The following is a 15,593-nucleotide window of genomic DNA, read 5'->3' on the forward strand; positions in this document are numbered from 1 at the left end:
GATAAGTAATTTTTGTCCCTTTTTCCCCATTATTCCACATAAATTACATGCCTTGCAAAAAAATGATCTCCCAGCTGCAAAATATATATGCCTCTTTTCTGTATCTTGTCACTCTTACTCTCCCAGTCTGAAATACCTTACCATCCTACAGCTTTCAGTATTGCTGACAATATCAGATAACATCTAATAAGATAACCATAGCTGTTGACCACATAGGCAGTCATCATTTTCTTCATAAATTGAGTCTGATGACAATAAAACAAGTGATTTAAAGTTGTACCTGCTAGCTAGTTTTAATTATACCAAAGCAAATTTTAGTCCCTGGAAGATACCTATTTTCATAATTGTTGCACAAAGTCAGTGAAGACCATCCTATCTTCCCCAAAGACCTGGTAAAGAAAAACTAAGGATGTTGGAGTAGTCTCACAGGTTTAATTCTTCAAGTGTAGACTCAGACAAGAACAGAATTGGGTACAAACCTCAAACGGCCTCATGGAGACTCTCTCTTGCCAAAGAAAATAGCTGCAGACTCTCTCAGCATGCAAAAAGGCTCTGTGCATTCAAAAGATAGCACCCATATTCTCCAATGAAGGGCCTTTGCACACAAATGCCCCTGTGTGTGAGCCCTCCAGCATACTTCTCATTTTTACCTAAAGGAATAATTGGGAGACCTGCACCCATGTCAGAAATCAAATCAATCTATTATTTCTATGTTATAATTCTCTGTATCTCACATTGGTTAACTGTCAGTCTTCCCTGTTACAAAGAAATCAAAGAAAATACCAGATTGAGAAATCAGAACCAAGTTAGTATAGGACACCCAAGAAGAAAAACCTGTACTTGGAAAACCTTAGACTATTTTATCTGGACAGAAACAGCTGAAGAAACAGAAGCCTAGGGCAGTGAAATAACAGGGCTAGCAACTGGAGAGCTCACTAGAGACTCAACCAGAACGTGAGCTGATCTCAATCCACTCGAGGGCAGCTTCCATATTAACCCCCCTTCTGTATCACCTGGGGGAGGCAGAATGGTTTTGTTATCTGGTTTGAGATACTGAGAAAAATAGAAATCCTATGCGTTTTTAAAATACAATACTAAAGCAAGCTCTCCAACTGCTCCAGGTAAAACTAAAAATGACAATAAGGAAATACTGAATCACATACCAAAGCATGCAATTTCATGTAGTAGAATTTTAAAATGTTTAGCTTAATATTAAAAATAAAGTAAATTACCTGACAGCCCCCTCCACCCTAACCATCCACTTGCACCTCAGAATTTCATTTTATAGGCCTTCCTGGCTTTAAATGCAAAGGTGGCAAGGATCAAAATGTCTGGTTAGATGGATACTTCCAAGGAGTTGGAAATATAAAGCAATGAACTGGGCAAGAATCTTCAAAGTTATGTCAGTTGGCATGAAAATGTGGACATCTTCTCCAAAAGGGCATAAAAATTGATCAATGTAATTTAGCAAAAAGCTTTTGAATGCCTGGTATGTGCTTGTTGCTATGCTACACGCAGATGGTCATTAAGATGTAGTCTCTGCTTCCAAGGAACCCAGGCCTAACAAAGGGGATAGATACCAGATTAAAAAATAAAACAGTATAACTGAAATTTTTAAATAATATCAAAGGCACTACAGAAACAGGAATTAATTTTGTGGAAGTCTGAAACACTAAGACTTGATCAATATGTGAGATCTCAAGAATGAGTAAGGATATATGGACAAAAGAGATGGGAGAGTGCCACTCGGGCCAAGGGGAACAGCTCGTACAATGATGCACAAATGCAAAATCTCAGATGTCTGCAAGGAAGAGAGTGCCCTAGTGGGGCTAAGGTCTATATTACAGAACACATAGGAGAAAGCTTGAGTTGAGATCAAAGGGATAGACCCAGTTATAAGAAACTTACTACTAAGCTAGCGGACAGAGCCTATGGGACTTGGAAAAACACTAGTGACCATAGGATCAGAGATATAACCTGTGTTAAGTCAGATCATTTTTGTTTCCCACATTTTTCTGTGCTTGTATCCTTATATTTGTGGTTCTGTGTTTGGCTGATATTTGAATATTTCATGCTATATTAATTGTAATAAAAAGAACTGAAAATGGGGTTCCTTTTTGCGCTTGAACCAGACCTTTAAAATAACTACAGCATAGCCCCAGAGAATGGTTTGATGATGGTGGGAGTGATTAGAACAGAAAAACCCCAAGACAAAGATAAATCCAGGAGAACAAAGAAACAGCTGCTTGTTCACCTGCTCTCCTCTTCAAAAATCATCTCCTTCCAGTGGTAAAATCCATGGAGCTTCTGGGTTTTGTTTTTAATAAGAGAGGCTGTTCTTTTTTCAATAGCTGACACTATATGATTCAGCTATTACGCATTTAATAAGAATTGAAAGAGAACAGCAAAATATCTATAATCAAAGAAAATTCAATAATTGAGGAAATTATCAGAATAATATATGCAAACTGACCACTTAAAATTATTATAAAGATATAGTAGAAATCTGTTTCACTATTTATCTGAAACATCTGGCTTTTCTTTCTTCAACTGCAGACGTAAGAGCAAAATGCCTTTCTCAAGGAGCTGGAAGCCATCCGTCCAAAATGCAATCATCATCATCCATGGATGCCTTGCTCTAAGTTGTAAACCTGCCTCCTGTCATGAAGATATGGAAAGTTTACTTTTCCTTTGGGTAAGTCCAATTAGCAAACACAGGCAATCTATGATTCTCCTCACCCCGGCTCTTAAAAACTCTCCAGCCCTTTGTTTTGGGGAAGTTGGGTTCAATCTCTCTCCTCTACTGAAATAGCCTTGAATAAAGTCTTCCTTGCCTGTTTAACTTTTTCCAGTGCAATTTTTCTGCATTATTCACATCAAAAAAACAGTCACATATTTCTGCTATACTGTATTCCCAGTGACAGGTCTTTGCCTTCATTATACAATGTTTCGCATGAATTTAAAAATCACCTATTTAGTGTTCCACAGAAGACCCACCTGAGGTAAGCATATTGTGGTGATTAAATTTTTGCACAGAAGTTGAAATTGGGATGATTTAAAACTTGGAACTCAAAATTAACAAGAATTGGGTCACAATTCCTATCAAGAGATTCAATAATATTATTAAATCCTTCAACCTCTGATTTCCTGATAAGAAATCAGAGATATTACGTGATCTCATTTAGAAAGCTGGCCAATGCTACATTCTCTTATTAGTTAAAAAGGCAGCTCTAGAGATCTTGCAAGGAGCCACAAGGAGTTGCAGAGAGAGAACACAGCAGTGTTGGACTTAGAGAGACTTCAATCTGAATTCTAGTTCTACTGCTGACTATCTCTGTTAGTTAAAAAGGCAGCTCTAGAGATCTTGCAAGGAGCCACAAGGAGTTGCAGAGAGAGAACACAGCAGTGTTGGACTTAGAGAGACTTCAATTTGAATTCTAGTTCTACTGCTGACTATCTCTGTTAGTTAAAAAGGCAGCTCTAGAGATCTTGCAAGGAGCCACAAGGAGTTGCAGAGAGAAAGCACAGCAGTGTTGGACTTAGAGAGACTTCAGTTTGAATTCTAGCTCTACCGCTGACTATCTCTGTGACTTTACAGGCAAACTACTTAACTTAAAGATTCAGATTCCCTGTCTTTAAAAAGAAGATAATAATAATCACTTGGACGTCATGCTGTAAGTCATATGTGAGATGATGTGTGTAAGTGAGACAGACGGTGGCTGTCGTCACCTGCTCAGGCCACTAGTGTCTGAGACAGCTGTGCAATGCTCACCATCTAAAAGGGAATTGACAGTATGTGCCAGAGAAGAGTCAGAGACTTCTCCAAAGTGAACTCTGCCCTCCTAGGGTGATGGGAGTCTCTTGCCAGCAACTGTCAGCACTTGTGGTTGAGGCTCACCTCTCAGCAGAAAGCCTGGCTACACCAGGGCATTGGCTCTCCTCTGTCCTCACCCAAGAGCAAGTGCCTCAAGCTATCTTGAGCACAGGAGGAAAACCCACCCCAATAATTAACTCCACAAACAGAACAGACTCAATCCACTGTGAAAGGTGATATGAGAAAAGCTTTGTTTTTGAGCTGGTTCTACAAAAACAAAAATACACAAAACAAAATCAAACAATAAACCTGGACGTAAAAAAAGTAAGAGGGTTCTTCAACTTCTTGATTTTTTGAAAAACGTTATAAAGCAAAAGCTTTTAACACCTAAATAGAGGAGCACAGTAATGTTTTAACTTCAGTAGGAGAATAAGAACTGGATATAAATTGGCAGGAATTGCATTTCAGCTCTAACTCTCATGTATATCCCATTTAGTCTTTAATATTTGGCAACAATCACCTGGAAAGAATTGACATCTTCCAGGAAATTTCATCACACTAGAGATCCTGATGAAAATTAGATTCGTGATAGCAACATGTCCCATAAAGTATCTCATTCAAAAACTAATGGCGTGTTATTTTTATGAAGTGTATTTTGGGAGTCTCACTCCTATTTGGGAAATTTTTATTCTTCAATGTCCTCAATCAGAGATTTCTCCATTAAAATTCACATATAAAAATTTGTATATGAACCACAGAAAGTGATCGTATTCATGAGTCAAATAATAGATTTGTCTTAAGAACTACCTAGGTTTGAGCACTTTTATTTCCTCATTCAAAAAGCAATTCAGAACTCTTAAAAAAATTGATAGTCTATAACCACCTTTAAGAAAGTGGGTTTTCAGTCCACTTTCTTAATCTTACACTTTCTATTCCCCACCCACATGACTTTGCTTTTCTCCTGGCAAGAACAGATAATAACACAAGGAAAACAAGAAGGGCAATATCTGTGCTGATTATTCAGAGAAGCAAAATATTTCTCATCTTTGTATATTCGTTGGTGGCAAAAATAATTTTCCTCTTTGTTCCCATAGATACAGTAAGTCTGATTAGTAATCAGAATAATAGATCATAAATCACAAAGCCAGTTAAATATCATCTGTCCTTATGTAATATTTTAAACATATTCTTGTTTACTAATTGGTCCCATTTGTTACAATAACATGATTTTGAAAGGTGATTTGACTTAAATTTAGATGCATTTCATATATACATGTAGAAAAAAATGGTATTACCATGCTTGACCATGTGTAAACTGTAATCAAAAAGATATTACACAGATGATATAGAATAATGTATACCTATTTCTAAGACAGGTCAAAATACTGAATGTTTTCGCATTTCCCATATTAGAAGCACTTTCGGTTCTATCTCCCCCATCTTTCTCCTACAAATTATGAGGTATTCATTTTCAGTATTCATCCCGAGTAAATAATCTATAATATTCAAATAGAATATTATTTTTTTAAACTTCAAAATTGAGTGACAAAAATATCTTATGGACATTAAGGAGAAGTCAAGGCAATGTAAAACAGCAATTAACTAGAAGGGATAAGAAAAGGACAATAAATATTTTAGAGAACACATCCCAGCCTGAACCTTGTGCACTACTCTACTCAGCCCACTATGCAGACCACCACTATCAAGGGAAGATTGGTGCCTCTTGCTCTCCATGACTTTGCTTCTGAATCATGCTTCTTGTTCCTTGTCTTAAAACTGCTTCCAAACCTCCCAATTATTTACTTTGACTGTCTATTTTTTCTACTACTTTCCTCTGAGGACAACTTTGCATTGCCTGTTACATGTTACACTGCACATGGTATTATTTGTAGCTAGGTTTCTCAATCTCAGCATTATTGACACTTTGGACCAGACAAGTCTTTGTTATGCATTATAGGATGTTTACATCCTACAGTGGCCTCTACTGACTAGATACTGCCAACACCACCCCTCTCAAATCTTGTCAATCAAAAACGTCTTCAGACATTGCTGAATATACCCTAGTAGGCAAGATCAATGGCCCCTAGATGAAAATCACTATTTTACACTGACATTTATTCATGCATTCATCCATTCGATAAATGTTTATCAGATGCATATTATGTGTCAAATACTGGACTACAATAGTAAGAAAGATACAGTGGTTGCCCTATCCTAAAGTCTGGTTATAAGTGTGGACAAGTAATCTGTTAATTATAATTTAGTATATGAAGAGATAAAAACAAAGCACTACTAAAGCATAATGAAAGGGCACGTAACCCAGTTTGGCAGGGGTGGGGGGTGTAAAGCTTTTCACAAAGGAAAAGGCACTTAAGCACATACAAGAAAGATGAGTGGTAATTAGCTCAGTGAAAAATTTAAAAGGCACAGAGTGCTCCAGACAAAGAGACCAAGTAGGCAAATGCCTGCAGGTCAGCATTATTGGGGCACAGAGAACAGTAAGCAGGAACCAGGTCACACAAGGTTTTGTGTTTCATATTAAGGAGTTTGACTTTATTCTGAGGATAATGATGAGCTATGACCTTGCTCCTCAGGACAATGCTAGTTGGGGTCCCCTGCCCTGACTCTTATAACTTGAAATAAATGTCCTTCTAACATATGTCAGTCCTTGGGTACTTCCATGACAGCCTAGAACTTCTCCAACACAGCACTCTTTTCAAGCTTTATCCACTCTTTTAACAGGTCCAATACAGAGACCATCAATCTTCCAGGTCTAACCATAAAAGAATGAGAAATTATCTCTACAATTTAAACTAAAATGATTTGCCATTTTTCACTATTGCACAAATAACTAAATTCTGAAGTTATTCCACGTGGTTATAACTAAGTGGGGTACCAACTTTTCTGTGCACTAACTAAGAATTAGTTCTTTCAGAATATAAAGAAAGTTAATTGCCATTTACAGATGAAACTAAGAAAAAATCAAATCGATGGCTGATCGGGTTTAGACAAGTTCTACTGACTTCCCCTTTCTTAGTCTTGATGTTATATCTAGTTATATTTGTCTAGAGTTCACTGGGGAATTTCTGAGCCACAATAACTCAATTTTTAAAAAATTAAATGTCTAATACGTTCATTACATAAGCAATGGATTTAGTCTTTGTGTGAATTAAAAACACTAAATATGCAGCCAATGTTTGTTTAATATACCACACAACTAAAGAAGACATTTAGCATGAGAGAGAAAACAACTTGATGTGACTTTGAATAACATCTGAGTCACAAGGAAGAAAATCAAATAAATGCTCAACATATTGGGAGAATGTTTTTAACCAAGCAGTGACTGTGTTTTAACAGAATGTGGTTTTGATATGTGAAGTTTGGAATGTGAAGTTTGGAATGTGAAGGATGAAAAATTGGTAGCATTGCTTTGCAATTAAGTAACCTTACTCAAACCAAAGCTTTGTGGAATATGTCTATTTGCAAGTAAGTAAGTTTGAATTCATTTCCTTCTCATCATCTGTTCACTACAGCATAAAACAGGGAAAAAGAGAGCGCTGGGTAAAATAAAACCAGAGTTGAGCTTCTCTCTCCAGTTTTGTAAAGATTCATCTTTTCATCTGGAGTAAGTGGCCCAGGGATCTTTACTTTTGATTTTTAGCACATTTCAAAGTGATTCTTGTCCATTGATCTTTCTCTCACAGGTGAACAAAAAGTTCCTGTAGTTTTAAATTTCCATAAATTCTGCTACATTTTAAATTCTGAATATTTAGAAAGACTCTAAAGTGCTGGAGAAATTAACCTTCCCCTGAAACTCTTATTACTTCTGTCTAAATTTTCTCAGCAAAAATACACTCAAATATCACTGCAGGTCTTAAAAATGAACAACCATATGACCCTTTTTCATATTATCTGTCACCTCATATTTAAAAAGTATCTCATCCTTTCTAAGTGGTCATATCTGAATGTCTAATTAAGATTATAAAACCTATTAAAGAAGGTTAGAACTGAATTCTTTTTTCCTCACAGTATTTAAATTTTTAAAGATATTCAACAAAAGGTAATCATTAGGTAATAATTTTAAATAATAATTTTTAGCCGGGCGCTATGGCTCACGCCTGTAATCCCAGCACTTTGGGAGGCCGAGGCAGGCGGATCACCCAAGGTCAGGAGTTCAAGGCCAGCTTGGCCAACATGGTGAAACCCCATCTTTACAAAAATACAAAAATTAGCCAGGCATGATGGCGGATGCCTGTAATCCCAGCTACTTGGGAGGCTGAGGTGGGAGAATCACATGAACCTGGGAGGCAGAGGTTGCACTGAGCCGAGATGGCACCATTGCACTCCAGCCTGGGCGACAGAGTGAAACTCTGTCTCAAAATAATAATAATAATAATAATAATAATAATAATAATAATAATAATAATTTTAATGATCTTTTGACACAATTATATTGTTTTTTTTAACTTAGCAAGACTGGGCCTGAAAGAGAAAACAGAAGGAAAGATAGCAGAGGAAGAAGGGAAGAAGGAAAGGAAAGAGGGAAAGAAAGAGAAAGAAAAGAAAAAAAGGGGAAAAAAAGAAAAGAAGGAAGGGAGGGAGGGAGGAAGGAAGGAAGGAAGGAAGGAAGGAAGGAAGGAAGGAAAAAGAGGTATGATTGATGTAATTCATAGAAGCTACAGTGTGACAATCTCCACTGAGATTCAGAATCAATGAATAGTGTGCAAGTGTAGAGATTCCCTAGCCCAAAAGATCAAATCCAATCTGAATGAATATAATAATACCCTTAAAGAAAGATGTCCATTATGACTTGGTGGAAGATATGAAAAAGCAGGGGTATTCTGTCACAAAATCATCTAAAACAAAAATTCAAGGAGAAAAAGAAAACTAGAAGTGCCCATCCAAGCCTCATCCAGGAAAGAAAGCATTTTAGCCAACTATACTTAGAGTAATGCAATCCCACGAAAAATGCTCTTCCTGTCAGGGAAACGAGTACATCAGGCTAAAGAAATTTGTATCTATCTAAATCTCACTGCTCTGATTCTGATTTCAGATGGATGTGCCTACAAATCGAGAATACTCTCATTTAAGAATGCTCATAAATATTGATATATTAACATTTCTATTCCATACATCAGTCCCACAAGCCTGGTCAATGGAAGTCCATCATACCAGTGGTTAACATACCCACCTAGAGTTACTACACCAGATTTAGGATAACATATACTTACTAGTATAATAATCAGCCAGGCTTCCTCCAGTGGACATCCTAACCACGCTATTAGCTTTTGGTGCTCTCCATTTGAAATTTCTACAACTAAAACTCGTCCATTTCTTGTCAACATTAAGCAATATGTACAAACCATAAAGACAAGTTATAGGTGTCCTTTCTGGATGTTCTTCCATCATACATAACTCCCTCTGTGTGCTAGATTCTTTAGTAAGTAGTGGAGACGTAGCATACCCACCTTGATATAGCTCACAACCTGGCAGAGGAGACTGAAATGTGTATAAACGTAGTTAGGCATGGTGGCTCATGCCTATAATCTCAGCAATTTAAGAGGCTGAGGCAGAGGGGACTGCTTGAGCCCAGGAGTTCAAGACTAGCCTGAAGAACAAAGTGAGACCCCCATCTCTGCAAAAAATTTAAAAGTTAGCCAGGCATGGTGGTGCCCGCCCATAGTCCCAGCTACTCAGTAGACTGAGGTGGAAGGATCTCTTCCACCCAGGAGTTCAGGGCTGCAGTGAGCTATGACTATGCCACTGCACTCCAGCCTGGGCAACATAGCCAGACCCTGTCTCAAAAAAAAAATGTGTGTGCACATGATATAGTATTAAAAACACTATAATGGTGCTTTGTGGGAATGAAATTGAAGCAAGTGGAGGGGGAACTTAATTCTGCATGCAACTCAGTTGAGAGGGATCAGTTCTATAATTTAAATAACCAAGAGACTTTACCAAACATTCACCATTTTTTTCATAAAATAAAAGCAATGATTGCAGAATTTGTACTTATAGATGTTCTAACTGATGAACGACTACCCCAGATATTTTATATGCAAAGATTTCCATTAAATATAGGGAAAACCTGGTTCTGAGAGGAAAATATATCTGTTACGTAAAATTGAGAAAAGCATGTGACTCCCATAGTCCCATTTATTTGCACCCACTAATTTGCACTGGAAATGACTTGCCTACTAGCGAAACAACTCAGTTGTGTTCTCACAATTGGATCTAAGACATATTTCTAATACCACCCACAGTAAGCAAGCCCTGTGTCTATTTTTGCTCACCATTGTGTCCACAGGAACTATAACAATGCCTCATACATAGAAGATGCTCAATATAACCTATTGAATATACAAAACAAATATTTAAGAATGCCAGTAGTTCCTTAAGATACTGGGTGGATCATCAATGTGTTAAAAGGTTGAAACTGGACCTATTCTTTTTAGAACTAACCTAAACAAAATTAGTCATGCACAATCATTAGGATACTTTGATAAATATAAATACTCCCTAATAATGAGGGGTAGATAAGGGCCATAGGTCTTCATTCTCAAAATTTCTTAGTCTACCAGGTGTTCTATTACAATAAGTGTAAGTCTCAGATCAAATTCTGTGACACACTCAAACATATATTAGCAAGCAGGCACAAAAACAGTTAAGTCCCAGTTATCTGACCTCTTGGGAACTCCAACTATCATGTTCCATCAAAGATTCATTTGAGAGAATTGCAGCAGTATTCTGGCAGCAAGAGTCAGCTAAATTTCTAGTCAGAACCGGGTGGCAGAATCCTCAGTTAATGGCTACACATGGGACCAAATAGCATTCTAGACCTGGGATACCACCCTGATGGGTCTAGGCTACGATTTCTCAACCTTGGCACTACCAATATTCTGGGTTGTGTAATTCTTCATTGCGGGTGAGTGATGAGATTTTATACATTGTAGGGTTTTCCACAACGCCCTGGGTATCTACCCACTAGATGTCAGTAGCAGCCTCTCCCCCAAGCTGTGACATCCAAAAATGTCTCCAGACATTGCTAAATATTTTGGGACAGGAGGTTGAGAGGCAAAATCACCCTAGTCAAGAACCACTAGTCAAGCCACCTGGTTCACTGGAAATTTAGTCTCTTTTTAAATTAAGTCAGTTGTGCCTATGCAACATTTCTAACCAATTCATACATCTTGAGCATTCTCATTCCACCAGTGAAGAATCATTTCTAACATTGCTTACAACATAATTAGGACACCTACCAGTGCTCATCAGAAAGCAAGATATGAGAGTGCTAGTAGCAGGTGCCTCTGAAGAGTGCACTCCTGATTAGATTCTTTCAAATGCTAACTAACTGCTTGTGGTGGGTGTATGCCTGATTAGAGTATTTCAAATGTTAACTAACCATCCTCTGACTTCAAATCAAATAAACACTTTTTCTCTAATTTCGATGCCAGCTTGGTATTGCCCCCAAGCACCTCAGAGAAGCAACCACTGGAAAGCTTAAGGCTAAACTCTCAGGAAAAAAGTGATAAAGCTGATAGCAATAATGCCAATAACTTAAACACAAGCATACATGCTGTAATCCTACTGCCAGAACAACTGAGATGTAGCATGCTCTACAGTTTCTCTCCGAGTTTCATCCAACAAAAATGATTTTGCTCATGCACAAGCATATTCATTATAGCAGGTGTTCAGTTCAAAGAATGAATTATGGGCAAAAGTTTTGCAAGTATATAAATATTTGAGTATTAAGATTTAAATGGTGCTAGATTCCTATATCCACATGGGGTGCATTTACACTTGAACTTGGTTACGTATCTTCCCAACACCAGCTTCCATGACTGAAAATTAAGAGGTGGTTTTAGATTATTTCAATTTTGAACTGAGTAAAAGTATGATTATGCTGACAAAAGACAGCTACTCCCCATCCAGGACTGGATATTCTGGAGATGTTTTCTGCATACAAAATACAGGAAAAAAAATAAGGACAGGGCAAATCAAGTGAATCCAATGAAATAATCACAGCCACATGGAGGTGTTTTGGATAAATTATACTCCTGGTCAGGGTGGCAGAGGTTTTATGCCTGACACAGAAAGAAAAAGAAAGAATGAATCAGAAAACAAGTCAAAAAAGGAAAAAGGGTAGTTGATACATTTGTCAAAACAGACATCTCTTTCACACACACTGTTGTGCCTCTCTGGACAGTGTACTTGAATCTGCTAATCCACCCAGTTAGGAACCGAAAGCATAAAACGACGAGGTGACCCAGAGGCCTTACCCCTAAAGATAACTGTGAATGCCAAGGATGGTGCCCACCTAGAAGGAGGTTCAGTTGACCCTCTCAGAAGAAACAGGAATAAATTCTACCCAATAATTAAACGTATCTACACACAACACCATTAATGTACACTGATTGCTTAGGAGACAGTGAGAGTTCTATGCCCCTGAGAGTCTTCCAGGGAAAAAGACTGGGCACAAGTGTTGTTAAAAACATAGAAGGTGTTATCTACCCAGAAGTGTTAAAATCATTACTGTACTTGCAGTGTCATCCCCAAACAATCACAAATAGGTTAGCTCTTTTTGACTTCCCTATCACCTGCTGGTGGAATTTGGGATCAAACCTAGGGATTAAACTGGGCAAGTCTGCACTTGAATCCAGTTATAGTTTCCTTTCATTACTAAAGAATCAGAGAACAGATATTGTCAAGAATACTAACAGAAGAGCACTGCAGTTGAACCAGAAAATTGGGAAGAGATTGGCAGAGATCATATAGAAGCCCCATCAATCCACTACTGTTCGAATTAAGTACTCAGGAAATCTAGACTAGTAGATAGGATAATGTGGTTCCACTTAACATAAGGACAGAATAATCCCTCCTGATGAGTCAGACCCGTGGGAGGGAATTTGTGTTGGATTTGAAAAAACTCCTTTGGAGTTTCTGCCAAGCAGCATCTTATACTAAAAAGATATATAATTATGTAGAGTGACTAATTTACTTTTGCAGACCCCTTACATGTTACATGAAATAAAGTCTTCTGTTTACCTGTTTGTCTCTACCACTGGGACCATGTCTTACAGGACAGGGACTGTGTCATCTGCATTCTTTTGTCTCTGTAGTGTAACACAGTATGAACACCCAATAAAGGTCTTTTGAGTGTTGAATAAATAGGCAGACAAGTCTTTATGCAGAAAAACTAATAGCATCTGCATATTTGAGTATTCCCTTGTGTGATTCCAGGCCATTTGTGAAACTTCAAATAAAACTGTCTTGAAAATGCATGGGCGTCACTTCTTCTATCCAGAAGTAATTTTTATCTGTTCCCTTTGTTACTTATATCTGTTTATTAGTAATTAAACTTATAAAAGGGCCCTTAAGTCTAGAAATCTAATATAACCATAGATTCTTTTTACTTTATAAATAAAAAGACCTGCTGAAATAATAAGGTGAGATTAATTCTTTTCAAAGCCTATATCATGGTTTATGATCTAAATATATTTTAAACAACCTAGTCCTAAATTTTTCATTTACTTTTAACACTCATGTGCATTAAATATAACCCAAATGATTTATTTATTTCTAGATTGCCAAATGTGAAGATAATACCATAAGCTTACAACTCTCTAATCTAAAATGTGGACATCTCTAGATAGAGTCTAAGTATGGCACTTTGCACAGCGTATTTCTTGGTAAAGATTTAAGCAATTGTTGAAGATCTGTGCTGTCTCCTTTCTAGTCCTCACAGCAACTCCTACACAGTGACTACTGAGTAGTACTCCTTTGTGTTAGCAGCTGGCTTCCTTATTTCAATATATTTTAAGAAACCTCTAAGTTGCAAACTAAAGCCCTATTAAGGCATTCCTCAAATTCTTTTTGACTAATCTAAGATCTAGTTTCAACATGACATAACTTTTCTTTGTCATATACAAGTCAGATATTAAATGAACACAAAATGAATTTCCAAAAATAATTTATAAAAGATACTGGCATTTTTATAGGACCACTTCTTGTATAAAGGTATTTAACTCGACACTTAGTCTTCTGACCTATAATATGTAACAGCAGGATTTTTTAAAAGTTGTTTTTAAGCAGGCACGGAGTCCAACTTATTTAATAACTCATTTAGCACAGAGATCTACCATTCAGAATGGATGCTGGTGGTCATAACACTGGACCAGGTCCTGAACTGCTCCTTCATGCTCCTTATTAGTTTCTGGATAATGGGAGGCCTGGGTGAATTGCAGGGATTCAATGGAATGGCAGTACGGGGCACTCAGGTAATTGAGGCAATGGCTATTTATCAATTATTTAGATTTTTGCAATAATTTAACAACTGTGCATAGTTAGTGGTACACATTCATATAAAATAAGCCCTGTGGTAAGCCTTTTTGTTACTTTTTTTCTTCTAGAAAAGAAATGGACGATAAAGACAATTGAACTAAGAGCCGTTTCACTTTGAGGAAGAGAGTATCCTATTTCACAGTGTTCTCAGGGATTAGACATAATCAATTTAAGCAAGGCCTGAAGCTTCTGCAATTGAGGAAGAAAATGCTTTTTAAGAAAAAAACATATTTCTTATGCAAATTTTACAAAAAACAATAGGACTATATGAACACATTTCTAGAGTTCCTCCCAGAGGACCTAAAGCTCCAACTTCATTATCATCACTAAATCCTCCTCTGCTGATTGTCCAAAAGAAACTGCACAACTGATTGACTCTTTCAAAGATTCTCCTGTGCCCAAAATAAATTTTAACCCTAGCAAACTGAGAAATTTATTAAAATCCAGAATTAACATTACACGTCACATTAACTGTGTTTTTATATAGTAAACAGGAAAATAAATAGGTCAAGGCTGAAAATGAGATAATATATGCTTATTTTCTGATCCTACTCAATCGTTTTCAACTTGGCCAAAGATTATTCTTATAGCTTAGAATGGGGAACTCTATAGCACCCATAAGGCTGTCTCTTTCTCCCTCTGAAGTCTGTGTTTGAAATTCTTTCCTTATACAAATTGCTATGGACTCACTTCAAGCACCAAACTAAAATTCAGCTTTCTCTCGCCATCAGGTGGATCTCTTGATATGACTTGCTGGTGGGTGAGGGTGATTTGTCTGCTTTCATCTGAAGGAGGAGGACTACTATTTTGACATCCGGAATAAAGATTAGGAGGGTGAGGAGATGACTATAACATTGGCCTCCTGTCAATGCTTATAAAATAGAAGTTCTCAACCCTCATAGCACAGTAGAATCAACTGATGCTAGGGCCCATCCAGACAGATTAAACCAAAATCTTTGGGGTTGAGGCAGCAGCACTTTTAAAGGAGTAACTTAAAGTAGGTGATTCAAGGTGAGAAACACCACTATAAATTTATAGTACAAGCAAATAAAGTCAAAAGCTAAAACAGCAACAACAACAACCAACCTTTGTTTCATAAGGGAGTATTTGAGACAGAACAGGCATAAGGAGTGTTACTTAAGTCTCTAAAACAAAGTCTAATCAAGTAAGGTACATTCTTTGGTACGCTGGACCAGGCAGCTATGAAAGTTCAAAGAGAGTGAACACATGGAGTGAGCATGGGTGTTTTGCAGCAAGCAGCTGCAGGCAGAGCACTGACAAGCAGCCCTTCAGGCAAAGGGGAGTCCGAAGAGCACAGAGTGATCAAGACAGTGTTCAGGGCATGCACCCACAGACTCTTCTGAGGCACACATGAGACATACCTTCCCCCAGGGAGGCTGAAGACTTAGGTGAGAATTTGCAGAGTCTTAAAAGTGCC

At 37.5% G+C, this 15,593-nt stretch overlaps 1 protein-coding gene across 1 annotated transcript in view, besides 1 other annotated feature; it reads right to left on the bottom strand.

The window, feature by feature from the left end:
• Window positions 1-15,593, bottom strand: part of PDE1A (phosphodiesterase 1A) — a 576,757-nt gene that overhangs the window by 440,811 nt on the left and 120,353 nt on the right. The gene's annotated exons all lie outside the window — the stretch shown is intronic.
• Window positions 10,898-11,530: an enhancer, noted in NCBI's record as "NANOG hESC enhancer chr2:183456476-183457108 (GRCh37/hg19 assembly coordinates)". NCBI's record gives its function as "activates a minimal SCP1, AML or CMV promoter by ChIP-STARR-seq in primed H9 embryonic stem cells {active_cell/tissue: H9 hESC(primed)}" and the evidence as "EXISTENCE:reporter gene assay evidence [ECO:0000049][PMID:30033119]".

The sequence above is a fragment of the Homo sapiens genome, chromosome 2 (assembly GCF_000001405.40).
Source record: "Homo sapiens chromosome 2, GRCh38.p14 Primary Assembly".
Lineage (NCBI taxonomy): Eukaryota > Metazoa > Chordata > Mammalia > Primates > Hominidae > Homo > Homo sapiens.